The following is a 15,013-nucleotide window of genomic DNA, read 5'->3' on the forward strand; positions in this document are numbered from 1 at the left end:
CCACACACCCTTTCCGCCCACGGGGTCACACGGAGGACGTCTGACCCTTACTCCTAGGGCTACCCACCCTCTGGTTTCCAGGCAGCTCCTGCTTGCGGAGACACCTCATAGGAGCAGCTGGATCCATTTTCCAGAGCGTCAAGTTGAGGATGAGAAAGTCTCGAGGGCCGGGCAGCTGTGCGCGCAGAACCCCCGCCCCATCTGCTTTTAGATTTCCCGGGTGCGGCTGGAGCCCCTCTAGAGCGCCGGCCTCCGCTGGCCGCAGGGCCTTCACCTGCGCCTGTCGCCCTGTCCCCTTGCCCACTGCATTTTCCTCGGGGAGAGCATCTTCCACAGCATGCGTCCCCTGCCCCCCACGCCCCGAGCCCCCCTCCCATTCCGCCGGGGGAGGAGAGGCTGCTAGGAGGCTCTCGGAGAGCCCCCGGGCTGCAGAGAAAGACGCCTCCCCTCTGCGGCTGAGGCCGAGTGAGCCAAAGGGGGCCGGCCGCTCGCCAGTGGTTCTCCGAGGTACGGGCGGGGAGGCCCGCGGGGTGGGATCAGGGCGGCCGCCACCTCCCCGCCCCCGCCGAGGTCCCGAAGGGAGGGGAGCCCTCCGCGGGAGGCCTGTCCCTTTAAGGAGGCGGCCCTGGCTGGGTGTGCCCCGTCTCCATGGTTACCCCGGTGCAGGCGGCGGGCGCGGGAGGGAGGGAGGGAGGCTGCAGCTTCTCCCCGACAGACGGAGGGAGCTGCCGAGAGCCGGCGCCGAGCGAAGCCGAGCGGAAGCCCACCCGCAGCCGACACGCGAGCCGCTGCCGCGGCGGGAGGTGCTGAGAGCGCGGCGGCCGCGGGGCCTGGAGCCCGGGATTTGTGGGCGGCGAGGGCGCGAGGGGCCGCGCGCCATGCTCCGGGCCCCGACGGCGCGGACGCCCCCTCGCGCGCCAGCGTCCGGCGCGACCCCGGATCCCGGTCTGCGCATTGCCCCCCGACGGCTGCGCTAGGGAGCGCGGGGCCCGGCGGGGGGCGGCCGAGCTGGGCGCCCTCCCCCGGCGCGGAGTCCCCGCACCCCGGAGGGATGGGGCGGGCAGCCGCGGGCGCCTAAGATGCCGGCCATGCGGGGCCTCCTGGCGCCGCAGAACACCTTCCTGGACACCATCGCTACGCGCTTCGACGGCACGCGTGAGTCCGACCCTCGCCCACTTGCACCCGGGCCGCCGGACCCTCGCCAGGGCTCCCGCCTTCCCCGAACCCCCAGCAGCCCAGCTTGGCGCCAGCCTATTCTCACCCTCTCCTCCCTACCCGCCCCTCTTGAGGCTGGGGCCATCGTCTCCTGCTAGGCGCTGTTTCCCCGAAGGTTCGAAGGTTCGGGGTCAACACTGCTTCAGGCGAGGCAACAGGGCCAGAAGTCCCTGGGTGTGGGTCCTGGGATGCTCTCTGTTAGCCGGGTCTCGAACCCGAACCTAGTCAGTCTGACCCATCCCACCCCTGCGTCTGGCGCTGTCGCAGCAACTACCCTCGGACTGGTGGGGTAAGGCGAGGCGGGTGAACAGTGCTCAGGGACAGCTGAGAGGGCTCAAAACACAGATTTAGAAAAGAGATTTGCAAACGGAGATAAGAGTAGGCGGCACTCGGGAGAGCACCGTGTGTCCAAGCCCCGTGTCTCATAGCCTGAACCCCCTAGACTTGGGGAGGCCATCTAGCCCCAAGAAGATGGTTTGGGGACTCCCATCAGGACTGGGGAAGTTTGGAGAAGGCGCCCCGAGCTCTGGATCCCCGGTTCTGGGGGCTCTGAGCACAGGGGAAGTGATGAAAGCCCCTCCCTCCTCCTCTCCCTCACATCCCCCGTGGGGCTTCCCAGCTCTCTGCCTAGGTCCTCCTTGGTCTCCGGTTCCTGATAGGGGGTGGGAGCCCAGCCCTGCGCTCTCCCCACTCCGGGCTCCTCCATCTGCTTTGCCAGTGTGCTTGGCTCCTGCAGCCTGCTGATTCAGTGCCCCCCACTCCCCAATACATTCCTGGCTCCTGGCTCCCGTGCTCAGTCACCATTCTTACACCCCCATTCTTGATCACATTCACTAATTCCTGAGCCAGGTCAGGCAGCTAGGGCTAAAACACAGACAGCAGGATGTATGGTGGTCTGGGGTTGCCTCCAGTCTAGGTGTGTCTCAGTGGGAGAAGCCAGACAGCCAACCTGGGTACCTGGCTAGTGGGTGAGCCTGGCAGAAGTAGAGGTGGGGCTGAGGCTGGCCCAGAGCTGGCAGGGCAGTCCTCATTAGGGATTCCCCAATCCCAGCCCTTACCCCACATTGCTCAGGACACCCTCCAGAAGGCACAGTGCCCGCACAGCGCTTCATTCACCGACCTCAGTTCACATGTGCTGATCCTTGAATGTACTCACACCTGCTGCAGGGCACTGACAAACAGGTGACACACACTGATTGCTATTCATAAACAGCCCTGCCTTAACACACGCAGGATTCCTGGGGTTTGGAAAACCCACTCTTTGGTTGCAGGCATTTGAGAAAGGAGGGGTGGTAGGCCTCCTGCCCCTTCACCCCACGCCTCCTCTGAGAAGTGCTCTCTTGCAGACAGTAACTTCGTGCTGGGCAACGCCCAGGTGGCGGGGCTCTTCCCCGTGGTCTACTGCTCTGATGGCTTCTGTGACCTCACGGGCTTCTCCCGGGCTGAGGTCATGCAGCGGGGCTGTGCCTGCTCCTTCCTTTATGGGCCAGACACCAGTGAGCTCGTCCGCCAACAGATCCGCAAGGCCCTGGACGAGCACAAGGAGTTCAAGGCTGAGCTGATCCTGTACCGGAAGAGCGGTGAGGGGCCACCTGGCCAGCCTGCCTCACCTTTGCAGTCTCACCCAGCCTGGCACCAGCCCCATCCACTGTCCCTCCTCCTTTCTGTTGCCATCTTCTCCATCTCCCCATGTCATCCCATCTTCCCATCCCCCCATCCAACCCCTCTTGCTCCATCCCACCTCTTGCCCCGGCTCCCCATCTCTACCTGCCTCACCCTAGCCTCAGCCTGCATTCAGTTCCAACCTCGGGTTTCCCGCATCCAACAGAAAAACATCCGCATTTCGGCAGGGCAGATCTACCACACGACAGGTCTGACCGTCATGTTTGCTCTCCCTTGCTTCCTTCCCCCAATTCCATCAAGCCCTGCCTTCAGTGAAACTGGACTGCCAGCCCTTCCCCCAGGAAACCGCTAGATCCTGCCTGTGTCTTGCCCGGGATGTCAGTGGAGCCAGGGCCTCTGTCACCTCAGGCAGTGCTGAGAATAGGAGGTGGGCTGAGTTTGTTTTTGTGCCCAGGGCTCCCGTTCTGGTGTCTCCTGGATGTGATACCCATAAAGAATGAGAAAGGGGAGGTGGCTCTCTTCCTAGTCTCTCACAAGGACATCAGCGAAACCAAGAACCGAGGGGGCCCCGACAGATGGAAGGAGACAGGTAGGTGCATGTAGGTGCTGTGGTCGGGGTATTGGGTGCCGCAGGCCCGGGCGGGGCCTTGGCACCCAGTCTGAGTACGGGGGTCCCCCATGCACCTGCATTCATTTCACTCCCACTCAGGCTGCCTGAGAGGCCTGTGCTGCTCTCATCTCCACATTCCTCGGTATGGGAATATTTTTTCCAAATAGACAGATTGAGACAAAGTTGGAGTTTTTAAGTCAACTTTATTAAGAAACTGAAAGCAAACAAACCCAATTGTACCTGTGAAGCAGGTACTTTCTGACCAGTTAATAAGGTTGAGCACAGACCCACCAGGTTCCTCTTTCCTACAGCAAACCTGACTGGGGGTGGAGCTCTGGGCAAAGCCTGCTTTTAAGTTCTTCGAGTCTTTCCCCTCTTGTGTCCTCCAAGGCTGGGGCAGGCCTTTGGGCAGGTTACAAAGCTGTCAAGGCCTCTTTGCCATTTGGGGATGCTGGGGGTACTCTCCACTCCCACTCGCGTACTCCCAGTGCTGGGTCTGCCTCTCCATGATGTCAGCCTTCATTGTCACCCTCTGGTCCCTGCACTAGCTCCTGGGCTCCTGCTGTAAGTTCCCACACCTCTGCTGACGGCCTCCTGCTAGTTCTCCACCCTGGCCCTGTGAGGTACCTCCTCGCTTCCTGTCCCAGGCCTTTCCCCGTAGAGATCCTCTGGTCCAAACCTCCTCTTCCTGGAAGCAGACCCCAGAGGTAGTGTCTGTAAACACTCCTAGGACTGCCCATTGCTGGGCTGGGCAAGTGAACCCAGGAAGTGAGGAATACCTGAGCCCCCAACTCTAAACATTCTAAGTGGTCAATGAGCCAGACCAGTCCATGGGCCAGCAACTGTGTCCTACACCTGACCCGGAGCTAGGGTGTGTGGGCACACACCCATCATCTTCATGGGCCCCTCTTCTTTCGCAGGTGGTGGCCGGCGCCGATATGGCCGGGCACGATCCAAAGGCTTCAATGCCAACCGGCGGCGGAGCCGGGCCGTGCTCTACCACCTGTCCGGGCACCTGCAGAAGCAGCCCAAGGGCAAGCACAAGCTCAATAAGGTGGGCTCAGCCCTGGGATGTGTGGGAGAGGGGAGGGGCAGACGCAGAAGATGGGGAAGGGGAACCTGATCTACCACAGAGAGAATGTCCTAGGGGCCACCCAGGCCTTGCCAGCACTTTGGGGGTTGGGACTGAAGGAGGGAAGATCACATGCCTGATCCATCAGAAGAAAGTCCTGGCCTGGGAGGCAGATGGGCCTTGGTTCAATCCTGGCTCCTCCCCTAAGCAGCTGTGTGGCCAAAGCTAAGTCACTTAACTTTCCTGATCTTCAGTTTTCTGATCTATAAAATGGAGATGCTAATGCCATCTCGAAGCAGATGCTGCTTCGATAATGCAGGGATAGAAAGGAGGTGGATGCGGGTCCCAGACTCTATCCAAACTCAGCCTGTGCCAATATTCTTTCCTCTCTGCCTGGACCTGCCCTGCCTCACTCAGGGGGTGTTTGGGGAGAAACCAAACTTGCCTGAGTACAAAGTAGCCGCCATCCGGAAGTCGCCCTTCATCCTGTTGCACTGTGGGGCACTGAGAGCCACCTGGGATGGCTTCATCCTGCTCGCCACACTCTATGTGGCTGTCACTGTGCCCTACAGCGTGTGTGTGAGCACAGCACGGGAGCCCAGTGCCGCCCGCGGCCCGCCCAGCGTCTGTGACCTGGCCGTGGAGGTCCTCTTCATCCTTGGTGCGTGCACTCTGCCCCTTCCGCCCCACCCTTTGCTGGCGCCCTGGGGCTTTGCTGGGGATAGTCCACGTGGCTTCCAGGGTGCTACAGTGCCCCCCTCGCTCTCTCTCATTTGTAACCTGTGAGCTTTGAAATCAGACCTAGGTTCCAAACATCTGCCACTTAGAAGTTATATGACCTTGAGCTGGTCAAAGCCTCTCTGAGCCTCCATAAAATAGATTCCCCCTTTGTAAAATAGGCAAAATGATGTCTACCTGTTACAGTTACTGTGAGAACTAAGACGATGTATGGGAAGGGCCGGGGACAGTGTCAACTACTGAGAAAGTGAGCAGGTGTCCAGGCAAGAGTGGCTGCCCCCCCAGCCCCAGTGCTGACTCCCACCCGGATTCCCCACAGACATTGTGCTGAATTTCCGTACCACATTCGTGTCCAAGTCGGGCCAGGTGGTGTTTGCCCCAAAGTCCATTTGCCTCCACTACGTCACCACCTGGTTCCTGCTGGATGTCATCGCAGCGCTGCCCTTTGACCTGCTACATGCCTTCAAGGTCAACGTGGTCAGTGTGGCTGGGCTGGCTGGGTGGGTGGGCTTGGCCAGGGGACAGGCAGGGCCGGCCCGCTGACCTCCCTCCCTCCCTCCCTCCCTCCCCGCATCTCAGTACTTCGGGGCCCATCTGCTGAAGACGGTGCGCCTGCTGCGCCTGCTGCGCCTGCTTCCGCGGCTGGACCGGTACTCGCAGTACAGCGCCGTGGTGCTGACACTGCTCATGGCCGTGTTCGCCCTGCTCGCGCACTGGGTCGCCTGCGTCTGGTTTTACATTGGCCAGCGGGAGATCGAGAGCAGCGAATCCGAGCTGCCTGAGATTGGTACTGGAGGCTCCCTCTGCATGTGGTGGGGAGGGAGTTGTGTCAGAGGAGTGTGAGTGCCAGCGTGGGTGCAGATGTGTGGTGTCCCTACCTGTGCAAGTCTGCACGTGTGCAAATCAGAGAAGAGGGTGTGCAGGTGTGAGTGTGACAGCCACCACCACGTGACGGGCCTGTTCTCCAGCAGCTGGGCCTTGTGGAGAAAGCCCAAGGAGTCCCAGTCGCCCATCCAGGCCTCCTGTGGCCAAATGTTGGTCACATTCCTTAAACCCCTGCCCCGTTGGGAAGGCCAAGCAGGGAGCCACTGCCCTCCAGGGTTTCTCTGACACCCGGCACTCCCCACCCCTCCCCCCGCATCCTCTCTGAAGCTTGTCCCCACCACCTTGGCTTCCAAGGCCCCTGCCTTTCTCTTGTCACCTCCAGTCCACATTTCTTCTGTCATCTCTAGTCCACATTTCTCCCCGCTGCATCCTGCTCTCCCCTGGCCTAAAAAGCAGGCTTTCTGCGTCCCCAGCATCTTCACTCTCCTTCATGTCACCTCCTCTCCTTCCACAGCTCCTCTCTGCTCACCACCCACTCACATCTTAACTCCTGCTGGGAGGGCTTCCACCCCCACCTCTGCACCCAAAATGTCACCTGGAAGGTCACAGTGACCTTCTGGGACCAAACCCTCATCCTCCTTGAAGTCCCTGTATCACCTGACCCTGCCAACCATAGTTCCTCTCAGCTGTGGGTGATGCAGCCCTCAGCTGGCCTCCTCCCAGCTCCTCCAAGTTCCAGGGTCTCCAGACCTTTCCTCACAGCTCTCCCCCTTCACCTTGCTTTCCCTCGGCTATTCCACTGACACCGAGTGAGCATCTCAACTTCCACCCTTTCTCTAGCCAAACCATTCCATTCCAGCTGTTTTTAACTCTCGATGCGCCTCAGGTCCAAAATCAAACCTGACCTCTTCCTCCCCAGCCCTCCAGCCCTTTGTCAGCTTCCAGGTAACTGACATTTAGCCGGGTTTCCAGATGCAGGTGGCTTTTTTTTTTTTTTTTTTTTGAGCTGTCACTCAGGCTGGAGTACAGTGGCGTGATCTAGGCTCACTGCAAGCTCCGCCTCCTGGGTTCACGCCATTCTCCTGCCTCAGCCTCCCAGGTAGCTGGGACTACAGGCATCCGCCAGCACGCCGGCTAATTTTTTGTATTTTTAGTAGAGACAGGGTTTTACCATGTTAGCCAGGATGGTCTCGATCTCCTGACCTTGTGATCCACCTGCCTCGGCCTCCCAAAGTGCTGGGATTACAGGTGTGAGCCACCACACCCGGCAGGTGGCCTCGTATGACTGTCTGCTCCTTGGCAGAGTCACCAGGTGTCCAGATCAGCCTTAGAAACCCGGTCTGATCAGTTTCCTGGGAACTACAAGGCTCCTGTGAATCCTCTCTCCCTCTGCAAGCTCACAGGAGGCCTGTGTGTGTCACAGAGGACCCATTTGAAATTTTCCCCAAGTGCTCTCACTGCTGAGTAGGTGGAAACCAGGACACTCCGGGCAGTGACACCTCCTTGGTGCCTGCTATTCCCAGAGGAAGCCTGTGGTGTCAGCTGCTCTGGGGTCAGACGGCCACAAGATGGACAATGGTGAAACAAAGCCTGTCTCCACCACCCCCAAAGTGGGCTGAGACACCAAATCCCTAGGTCCACTCCCGCCCCCTGAAATGGGACCCAGACACCCTTGGTCTTGTGTCCACGAGACTCCTCTCTTCCAACCACCTCACAGGGGTTGCTGATCTGACATTAAGAAGACCTTCAGCTCCCAAGAATCTCTGAGCTCCACAGGATGGGCAAGGGTGGATCGACCCTTGCAGATACACATTATATTCTTTCACCCTTGACCCCTGAGTTCCAGGGTGGTTTCGTTCCATTTGAGCCGGTACTAGTCTACATTTAGAGACTTTACAAGTTCTTCACATCATCATCTCCTCTTTCTCCAGGGAATCTGCCCCCTAACTGGGTTGGCACCAAACCCAGACCTCTCCAAGTCCAGCCCTGGCAGGAGAGTTCCTTGCAGGGGGAGGTGAGGCTGAGGTGGGGGGGTGGGCAGCTGGCCCAGTTCAGTCTGGTGGGCAGCTCCTTCTCCAAGCTTCCTTGCCTGGGTTTCCTTTTCCACTGCCCATGATGTGGACAGAGTTCCTTCCCCAGGTTCCCACTAGCCCAGTGGAGGTGGGCTGGATTTTCACAAGACTGTGCTGAGTATTGAGGGAGAGAACTCAGAGCACTCCTTGGTGTGCGAGCCCCCAGCCTCCGGGACAGCTCCTGCTGGCCTGACCCCGCCCACCTGGAGGCACAATCCTGGCCCCAGCTTCAGGGGTTGCTGATGCCCCATGGCCAAGACTGAAAGATCAGAGGCCTCCCTGCCACCCTCCCCTGTGTCCTGCTGCTTCTCCCCACCTTCCCTATCCTGGGCATTTGGCTTTGGGTAGCTTCACCCTCAGAGGCCAACTAAACAGTGACTGTGAAGAGTTTTACGTACTCCAATTTTATTTTATTTTTTCTGGAGACAGTCTCACTCTGTCACCCAGGCTGGAGTGCAACGGCGCAATCTCGGCTCACTGCAACCTCCGCCTCCTGTGTTCAAGCAATTCTTCTGCCTCAGTCTCCCGAGTAGCTGGGATTACAGGCATGCGCCACCATGCCTGGCTAATTTTTATATTTTTAGTAGAGATGGGGTTTCACCATGTTGGTCACGCTGGTCTCGAACTCCTGACCTTGTGATCTGCCCACCTCGACCTCCCAAAGTGCTGGGATTACATGCATGAGCCACTGCACCCAACCATGTACTCCACTGCATTCTTATGGCACATCTCAGATAATGGGAAGGTGAGCCCCCACCTTGGTGCAGGTCTTAGTACATCCTCCTAAATTCCTTAGCCTGGAATGTAATGCCCTCAGTGTTAACCCCACATTCTAGCCAAACTCAGCTACTTGCCTGTACTTGTCTTAAAATATCAGTCTCCAGGTTTGGCTCGTGCCTGTCCCTCCACCAGGAATGACCCCCTCAGTTTCTTTGTATCAAAACCCTACTACCCTTTGAAACCAAGCACAAATGTCCCTTCTTCCAGAAGCCTTCTAGCCCTAGCCCATGGCACTTGGTTCGAGCCCCCCTCCCTTCCTGCCGTGTGGCACCTCTGAGATGTAGTTCTGGCCCTATGTCACCTGCCCTTCTGAACTGGAGCCCTCAGGGAGCTCCTGTGGGGCCCCCAGCTCCTGGCACACAGTGTGTGAGGTTGCTGAATGAATGAGTGGGTGGATGACAAGTGTGTGCGGGCCACAGGACCCATATGCCTGAAGTGTTGGGGAGAGTCTGGAGTAGGGGGTCTGTGCTGAGGTGGGAGGAGCAGGGCACAAGTGGAGAGGTGGGGTCCAACTGCATCCTGTGACCCCAAGCCACAGCCACACATACCCTCTGCCTCACCATTCTAGATCAGCCAATCCGCCCTCTCTCCCTTGCACCCCATGGCCCCCAGCTCTGCCAGGACCTCTGTGGATCTTGGGATCCCCCATCCAACACCCTAGAGCTCCTGCAACCCTCCAGCTAGGCTCAAGAGTGACTCCCAGCACACAGCCTTGGGAGAGACCTCAGCGCACAACCCTACTCCATGCCAAGGCCAGGTGGAGAACTTCGGGCTGAGGGGCAATCCAGCCTCTGCTCCGTGGCCCGGTCTAGCCTGTGACTACGTGTGTGTGTGTGTGTGTGTGTGTGTGTGTGTGTGTGTGCGCGCGCACCTGTGTGAATGTATTCGCCTGTGTGCTCTTGTCCACGAAAGTGTGTCTTCACCCTCTGCCTGAGTGACAGTGTGTAGGTACCAGTGTACCTTTGTCCCTCTCCCAAGTGTGCACAGCCTTTTCAGTGAGTGGCTGTGTTGAGGCGCCTGTAAGGGGCATACATGTGTCCTTGTCTTCTTGACTGTGTGGGGCACACACATAGCCTTAACAGTGTGTGTGCATGTCCATGCAGGCGTGCTTGGCACCTGTGTGTGAGGCTGAGTGGTTTGTGTGGCTGTGGGGATGGATGAGACTGAATGGGGAGGGGAGGGAGGGCCTTCTGGAGTTGATGGGCTCAGAGAAATGCAGGAAGAGGAGTCCCGTTGGACAGGTGGAGGTGAGGGCGGAGGTGGCCTCACCATCCATCTTTTGGGGTTGAGGCTGTGGTTGAATGCAGTGAGCACCCCAGTCCTTTTGCCCACGCCAGCCAGGCCCTCCGACTGGGCCCGTTACCTGGGATGGGTGCCAGCCATGGGGGAAGGGGTGTGATTTCCCTTGTGTCATCCTCAGTGCCAATAGGAGCTGGCTGGGGAAATGGCAGACTCTTCTGAGGGTTGAGGGGGTGGAGAGGGGTGTGCTAGGCTGGCAGTGAAGGGGCAAAGCGGCGGGAAGCCATGGGGCTGGGTCTGTGTCTGCGTGTCCCCACCCCCAGGGCCCGGCATCCTCGCCCACAGTCTTCCTGCCTGCTCAGGCCCTGCTGTTCCCCCCTCAGGCTGGCTGCAGGAGCTGGCCCGCCGACTGGAGACTCCCTACTACCTGGTGGGCCGGAGGCCAGCTGGAGGGAACAGCTCCGGCCAGAGTGACAACTGCAGCAGCAGCAGCGAGGCCAACGGGACGGGGCTGGAGCTGCTGGGCGGCCCGTCGCTGCGCAGCGCCTACATCACCTCCCTCTACTTCGCACTCAGCAGCCTCACCAGCGTGGGCTTCGGCAACGTGTCCGCCAACACGGACACCGAGAAGATCTTCTCCATCTGCACCATGCTCATCGGCGGTGAGCCCGGCCGCGCGCGTCTTCCCGGGGCCACTCCCAGACTTCTGCCCGCAGGCGGCGCCGTCCCACTCCCCGGAGGGCCTGAGGCCGGGGGCTCTTCCGCTTTAGGTGGCCGCGGAACCCGAGGCCGGGGGTGGGGGAGACTTCGCCCGCACAGCGGCCTTCAGGCCTTGCCTAGGAGCGTGCGGGCCGAGGACAGATGAGCCCAGCGTGGTGTCAGGCCGGGCCAGGTCCCCTAGGTGACCCCCTCTCGTCACCCTCCCCCAGCCCTGATGCACGCGGTGGTGTTTGGGAACGTGACGGCCATCATCCAGCGCATGTACGCCCGCCGCTTTCTGTACCACAGCCGCACGCGCGACCTGCGCGACTACATCCGCATCCACCGTATCCCCAAGCCCCTCAAGCAGCGCATGCTGGAGTACTTCCAGGCCACCTGGGCGGTGAACAATGGCATCGACACCACCGAGGTGCGGCCTCCGGGGCTGGGCCTGCTAGCCTTTGCTCCCTCAGGGGGTTTGCAATAGCCTAGAATTATCAGGAGTGGGGGAGGATGAATGCAGAATTTTGGCCCCTGTGCCTCCCTTCTCTCTTGAGGGGACAGCGGCATGGGACAGAGGGCAGCTAAGAAGGCTTGGAGGGCCCTCTGAACCGCAGTTAGGTCTGGGGGCTTGGTACTCACTGAGGTGGGAAGCTGGGCTGCTCTGGGCGCTAAAGTGATTGAGAGGGAGGTGGAGGAAGCCCCCTCGCTGCCACCCTGTGTGGAGCTTGGAGTTGTGAGAGAGGCCTCAGGTCCCTCCCATGCCTCCCCTGTTCCTGAGGCCTGCCAGGGTGGAGAGGGGCTGGCTGGAGGCCACCTCCTCTTCTGCCACTCCCAACCCCCCCACCCCCGCACCTGCTCACCTGCAGCTGCTGCAGAGCCTCCCTGACGAGCTGCGCGCAGACATCGCCATGCACCTGCACAAGGAGGTCCTGCAGCTGCCACTGTTTGAGGCGGCCAGCCGCGGCTGCCTGCGGGCACTGTCTCTGGCCCTGCGGCCCGCCTTCTGCACGCCGGGCGAGTACCTCATCCACCAAGGCGATGCCCTGCAGGCCCTCTACTTTGTCTGCTCTGGCTCCATGGAGGTGCTCAAGGGTGGCACCGTGCTCGCCATCCTAGGTTTGTGAGGGTGGGAGAGAGGGCGTGGGGGCACGTGTGTGTGAGACCATGGCCCTGATCTGTGGAAAACCTGGAGAGGGGACCTCCACAAGGCCACTGAGAGAGAAACAGCCAGGGTGGAGTCAGGAGTAGTTATGGAGTCCTGGTCAAAGCTCAGAGAAGCCCCAGTGACTGCAAGGTGGCAGCGTAAGTAGGTGGACACGATCTCGCAGGTGTCCCTGGGGCCGAGCGAGTGGAGGGCCAGCCTTTGAAAGGAGCCAGTCTATGGGGGACAGAGGGGAGCTGCCCTTCCTTCAGGAGGAAAATCAGAAGCTAGGGATGGAAGTGCTGGGGAGAGTGTCAGGCAGGGCTAAAAAGGGGAGGAACAAAAGCTGTCTTTGTGGTCCCCCAGGAACAGTGAGATGTGACTTTCCTGAGGCAGATCACAGAGCAGGCCCAGAGCCCAGATGGGTGACAGAGCTCAGTCTCCAAACAGTCAGGGAGACTCATTCTGATGAAATGGTATCTACAGTGTATATACTTCCCTTCCTGGGAAAAGAAGGAGGTGAAAAAGGAAATCAGTTCCCTAGACGCAGATGAAGAAATTGCAGGTGTGGAATGGACACAATAGTAGTGCTGATAACAGGGGGCTCACAGCGTGACTAGCCCTGTCCCAGCTCCTTACTGCTTTGTCTCACTCTAACCTCACAAAACCCATTATTCCTATTTTGCATAGCAGGAGACCAAGGTCAGAGAGGTTAATGAACAGCTAGGAATCGGCCAGCCGGGGCTGGAGCCCCATCCACCTGGCGCCAAGTCTCATGCTTCTTCCACAGGGCTCCCAGGTGCTCTGGGGGGAATTGGGACTGGCAGGGAGGAAGCCATCGTTAGGAGGGTTGGACCTGCACTCTAGGATTTGGAGAGTTGGGAGCACATTCTAACTCTCAGGGAAACATGGGGCTGTGTCTGTGAAAAGCCACTAAAGGACCGGGCGCGGTAGCTCAAGCCTATAATTCCAGCACTTTGGCAGGCCGAGGCAGGCAGATCACTTGAGGTCAGGAGTTCAAGACCAGCCTGGCCAACGTGGTGAAATCCTGTATCTACTAAAAATACAAAAATTAGCCGGGTGTGGTGGTGGACACCTGTAATCCAGGCTACTTGGGAGGCTGAGGCAGAAGAATTGCTTAAACCCAGGAGATGGAGACTGCAGTGAGCCAAGATTGCACCACTGCACTCCAGCCTGGGCGATAAGCGAGACTCTGTCTCAAAAAAAAAAAAAAAAAAAAAAAAGAAAAGCCACTAAAGAGGAGCAGAGCTCTATGGCTGCAAGAGACTATCACCGTGACCCTAGAGGGCGGGGAACATGTGACCGGTGTGGGTAGTCAAGGACTTGTACATGTGGGGAGGTGGTGACCTGACCACTGCTGACGACATCGAATCCTCAGGCAGCCAAGGCACGTGTAGATTCACTGTGGGGACTGCTGAAGCCCTGGGGCTGAGGTTTCTCATTCATCTGGCAATCCACAATCAAGATGAGAAGCAGGAAAGGGCCAGGAAGGTGGGGCGGTGTCACCAGACGCAGCTACTGTGTGTCCATCCTTGCTCCCTTGAAGAGGATGACCTTCCAGCTGGAAACAAGAGGAAAAAAATGCCATCGGGGTCTTAGACCCCAAGAGTGGGGACAGGCTGTTCACACCCTTTGTTTTACATCTTTCATGAGTCCAGCTTTGGTGCCTACATGCGGTTTATGCCAGCATGAGAAAATGGAGTTATGCCAGTTAAGTGTAGCTGGCAATCCTTGGAGAGATTCCGAAGGGCACAAGGACAGATTTTCACCACTGTAGACTGGTGAACCCAAAGCAGGATTGACGAGTGGATTACGAAACAGATGGTTTCCAGCCTGGAGCCGAGGGAGTTGTGTGGCTGGGAGCTGGCACAGGTCCTCTCAGAGCATGCCTTTGCTGGTGCCAGGCACCACGTCTCAGAATAGCCATGTTCAGTGTGCAGTATTCAGTGCCACAAGAATGGCTACAGCCTGTGCCCTGGGCCTTTGCCTCTACAATGTCCCTAGCACCAGGACTTATGCCACCGTTGATCCATCCTGTCACCTTCTATATGTTTTGGGTGAACTACTTCCCTGTTGACTTGGAGGCTCTAGATGCCCTGGTGAATGCCTGGTTCCCCGACCCCAATCATGGTCGGGTTCTCTGCTTTGCCTTCATACCTACCCTCTCCTCACCTACCTTTTTACTCGAACATCCAAGTGCATCCTGTCTGCTTCAGGCAGCTCTGGGTTCTGGCGCTTGCCTCTGTTGATGAACTGCTGGAAGCTAAGCATACGCAAAGTCCGTTGTGAGGAAGGAAGTAGTTTGATGAGCTGCACCTGGTGGGCAGTCTCTGGTCCTGAGACTCTGCCCTCGGTCCTGTCCTGTTTCTCATTTTCTCCCACCTCTTAGATGAAGACAAGAAGCACGTGCTTATTCTATTTCAGATGACGCCAATGAAAAGAGAGCACATTCCCCAGATGATCACATTGAGATCCAAACAGCACTCAAAACGACCCAGAAGGATGGCCTGAAACCAAGAAAATCAAGTGTTAAACTATACTTAAGTTGGGGTGCATTCTATACTTAAGTTGGAGCAAAAGTCCAGGAACATGTAGAGGAGACGTGAGCTCAGTGTGTGCTGCTGGCAGTGTGAGGTAGTCCATAGCAGGGCCATCCTTTTTGAAACACTTTCTAACAGTCTGAACTGCCTGGCGGTGGTTGAGCTGCCTTGAGGGTAGTGAGTGCTCTGCCCAAGCCCGGACTGCGTGCCTATCCCTGTTGGAAATGAATTTTTTTTTTTGAGACCAGGTCTCACTGTCGCCCAGGCTGGAGTGCAGTGGTGTGATCTCGGCTCACTGCAGCCTCGACCTACTGGGCTCAAGTGATCCATCCACCTCAGTCTCCAGAATAGCTGAGATTGCAGGTGCACACCACCACACCGAGCTTAATTTTTGCTGCTGTTGTTGTTGTTGTTTGAGACAGGGTTTTGCCATGT

At 58.5% G+C, this 15,013-nt stretch overlaps 1 protein-coding gene and 1 long non-coding RNA gene across 7 annotated transcripts in view, besides 8 other annotated features; one reads left to right on the plus strand and one right to left on the minus strand.

The window, feature by feature from the left end:
* Nucleotides 1–812: an enhancer, noted in NCBI's record as "H3K27ac-H3K4me1 hESC enhancer chr12:49932121-49932932 (GRCh37/hg19 assembly coordinates)". NCBI's record gives its function as "activates a minimal SCP1, AML or CMV promoter by ChIP-STARR-seq in naive H9 embryonic stem cells {active_cell/tissue: H9 hESC(naive)}" and the evidence as "EXISTENCE:reporter gene assay evidence [ECO:0000049][PMID:30033119]".
* Nucleotides 504–683: a silencer, noted in NCBI's record as "silent region_4439". NCBI's record gives its function as "represses an Ori minimal core promoter by ATAC-STARR-seq in GM12878 lymphoblastoid cells {active_cell/tissue: GM12878}" and the evidence as "EXISTENCE:reporter gene assay evidence [ECO:0000049][PMID:35858748]".
* Nucleotides 693–15,013, plus strand: part of KCNH3 (potassium voltage-gated channel subfamily H member 3) — a 19,308-nt gene continuing 4,987 nt past the window's right edge. For 2 of the 4 annotated variants that reach the window (XM_011538085.3, NM_012284.3), the window contains exons 1-10: nucleotides 693–1,155; nucleotides 2,562–2,795; nucleotides 3,293–3,427; nucleotides 4,369–4,502; nucleotides 4,938–5,181; nucleotides 5,578–5,735; nucleotides 5,838–6,045; nucleotides 10,558–10,836; nucleotides 11,104–11,303; nucleotides 11,743–11,992. In XM_011538085.3, the coding sequence (XP_011536387.1) occupies nucleotides 1,080–1,155; nucleotides 2,562–2,795; nucleotides 3,293–3,427; nucleotides 4,369–4,502; nucleotides 4,938–5,181; nucleotides 5,578–5,735; nucleotides 5,838–6,045; nucleotides 10,558–10,836; nucleotides 11,104–11,303; nucleotides 11,743–11,992 (1,918 nt within the window). In that variant the 5' untranslated portion in view covers nucleotides 693–1,079. The remainder of the gene's footprint in view (nucleotides 1,156–2,561; nucleotides 2,796–3,292; nucleotides 3,428–4,368; nucleotides 4,503–4,937; nucleotides 5,182–5,577; nucleotides 5,736–5,837; nucleotides 6,046–10,557; nucleotides 10,837–11,103; nucleotides 11,304–11,742; nucleotides 11,993–15,013) is intronic. The other 2 variants (NM_001314030.2, XM_047428613.1) reach the window with 2 other exon arrangements.
* Nucleotides 813–1,622: an enhancer, noted in NCBI's record as "H3K27ac-H3K4me1 hESC enhancer chr12:49932933-49933742 (GRCh37/hg19 assembly coordinates)". NCBI's record gives its function as "activates a minimal SCP1, AML or CMV promoter by ChIP-STARR-seq in naive H9 embryonic stem cells {active_cell/tissue: H9 hESC(naive)}" and the evidence as "EXISTENCE:reporter gene assay evidence [ECO:0000049][PMID:30033119]".
* Nucleotides 2,267–2,316: an enhancer, noted in NCBI's record as "active region_6316". NCBI's record gives its function as "activates an Ori minimal core promoter by ATAC-STARR-seq in GM12878 lymphoblastoid cells {active_cell/tissue: GM12878}" and the evidence as "EXISTENCE:reporter gene assay evidence [ECO:0000049][PMID:35858748]".
* Nucleotides 4,123–5,322: an enhancer, noted in NCBI's record as "BRD4-independent group 4 enhancer chr12:49936243-49937442 (GRCh37/hg19 assembly coordinates)". NCBI's record gives its function as "activates an origin of replication core promoter dependent on BRD2, P300/CBP, MED14 and CDK7 cofactors, and independent of BRD4, by STARR-seq in HCT116 cells {active_cell/tissue: HCT116}" and the evidence as "EXISTENCE:reporter gene assay evidence [ECO:0000049][PMID:35650434]".
* Nucleotides 4,123–5,582: a biological region, named in NCBI's record as "BRD4-independent group 4 enhancer GRCh37_chr12:49936243-49937442".
* Nucleotides 4,669–5,582: an enhancer, noted in NCBI's record as "H3K4me1 hESC enhancer chr12:49936789-49937702 (GRCh37/hg19 assembly coordinates)". NCBI's record gives its function as "activates a minimal SCP1, AML or CMV promoter by ChIP-STARR-seq in naive H9 embryonic stem cells {active_cell/tissue: H9 hESC(naive)}" and the evidence as "EXISTENCE:reporter gene assay evidence [ECO:0000049][PMID:30033119]".
* Nucleotides 9,210–10,018: an enhancer, noted in NCBI's record as "H3K4me1 hESC enhancer chr12:49941330-49942138 (GRCh37/hg19 assembly coordinates)". NCBI's record gives its function as "activates a minimal SCP1, AML or CMV promoter by ChIP-STARR-seq in naive H9 embryonic stem cells {active_cell/tissue: H9 hESC(naive)}" and the evidence as "EXISTENCE:reporter gene assay evidence [ECO:0000049][PMID:30033119]".
* Nucleotides 11,944–14,862, minus strand: LOC105369761 (uncharacterized). 3 transcript variants are annotated; one of them, XR_007063298.1, is made up of 3 exons: nucleotides 14,215–14,862; nucleotides 13,386–13,599; nucleotides 11,944–12,520 (listed from the first exon to the last, which is right to left on the minus strand). It is a non-coding gene; the product is annotated as an uncharacterized LOC105369761 (long non-coding RNA). The 3 variants fall into 3 exon arrangements; XR_007063297.1 differs by lacking the exon at nucleotides 11,944–12,520 and having other exon boundaries at nucleotides 13,238–13,599; nucleotides 14,215–14,301; nucleotides 14,421–14,862; XR_944937.1 differs by lacking the exon at nucleotides 11,944–12,520 and having other exon boundaries at nucleotides 13,238–13,599.

Source organism: Homo sapiens, chromosome 12 (genome assembly GCF_000001405.40).
Source record: "Homo sapiens chromosome 12, GRCh38.p14 Primary Assembly".
In the NCBI taxonomy this organism is placed as follows: Eukaryota; Metazoa; Chordata; class Mammalia; order Primates; family Hominidae; genus Homo; species Homo sapiens.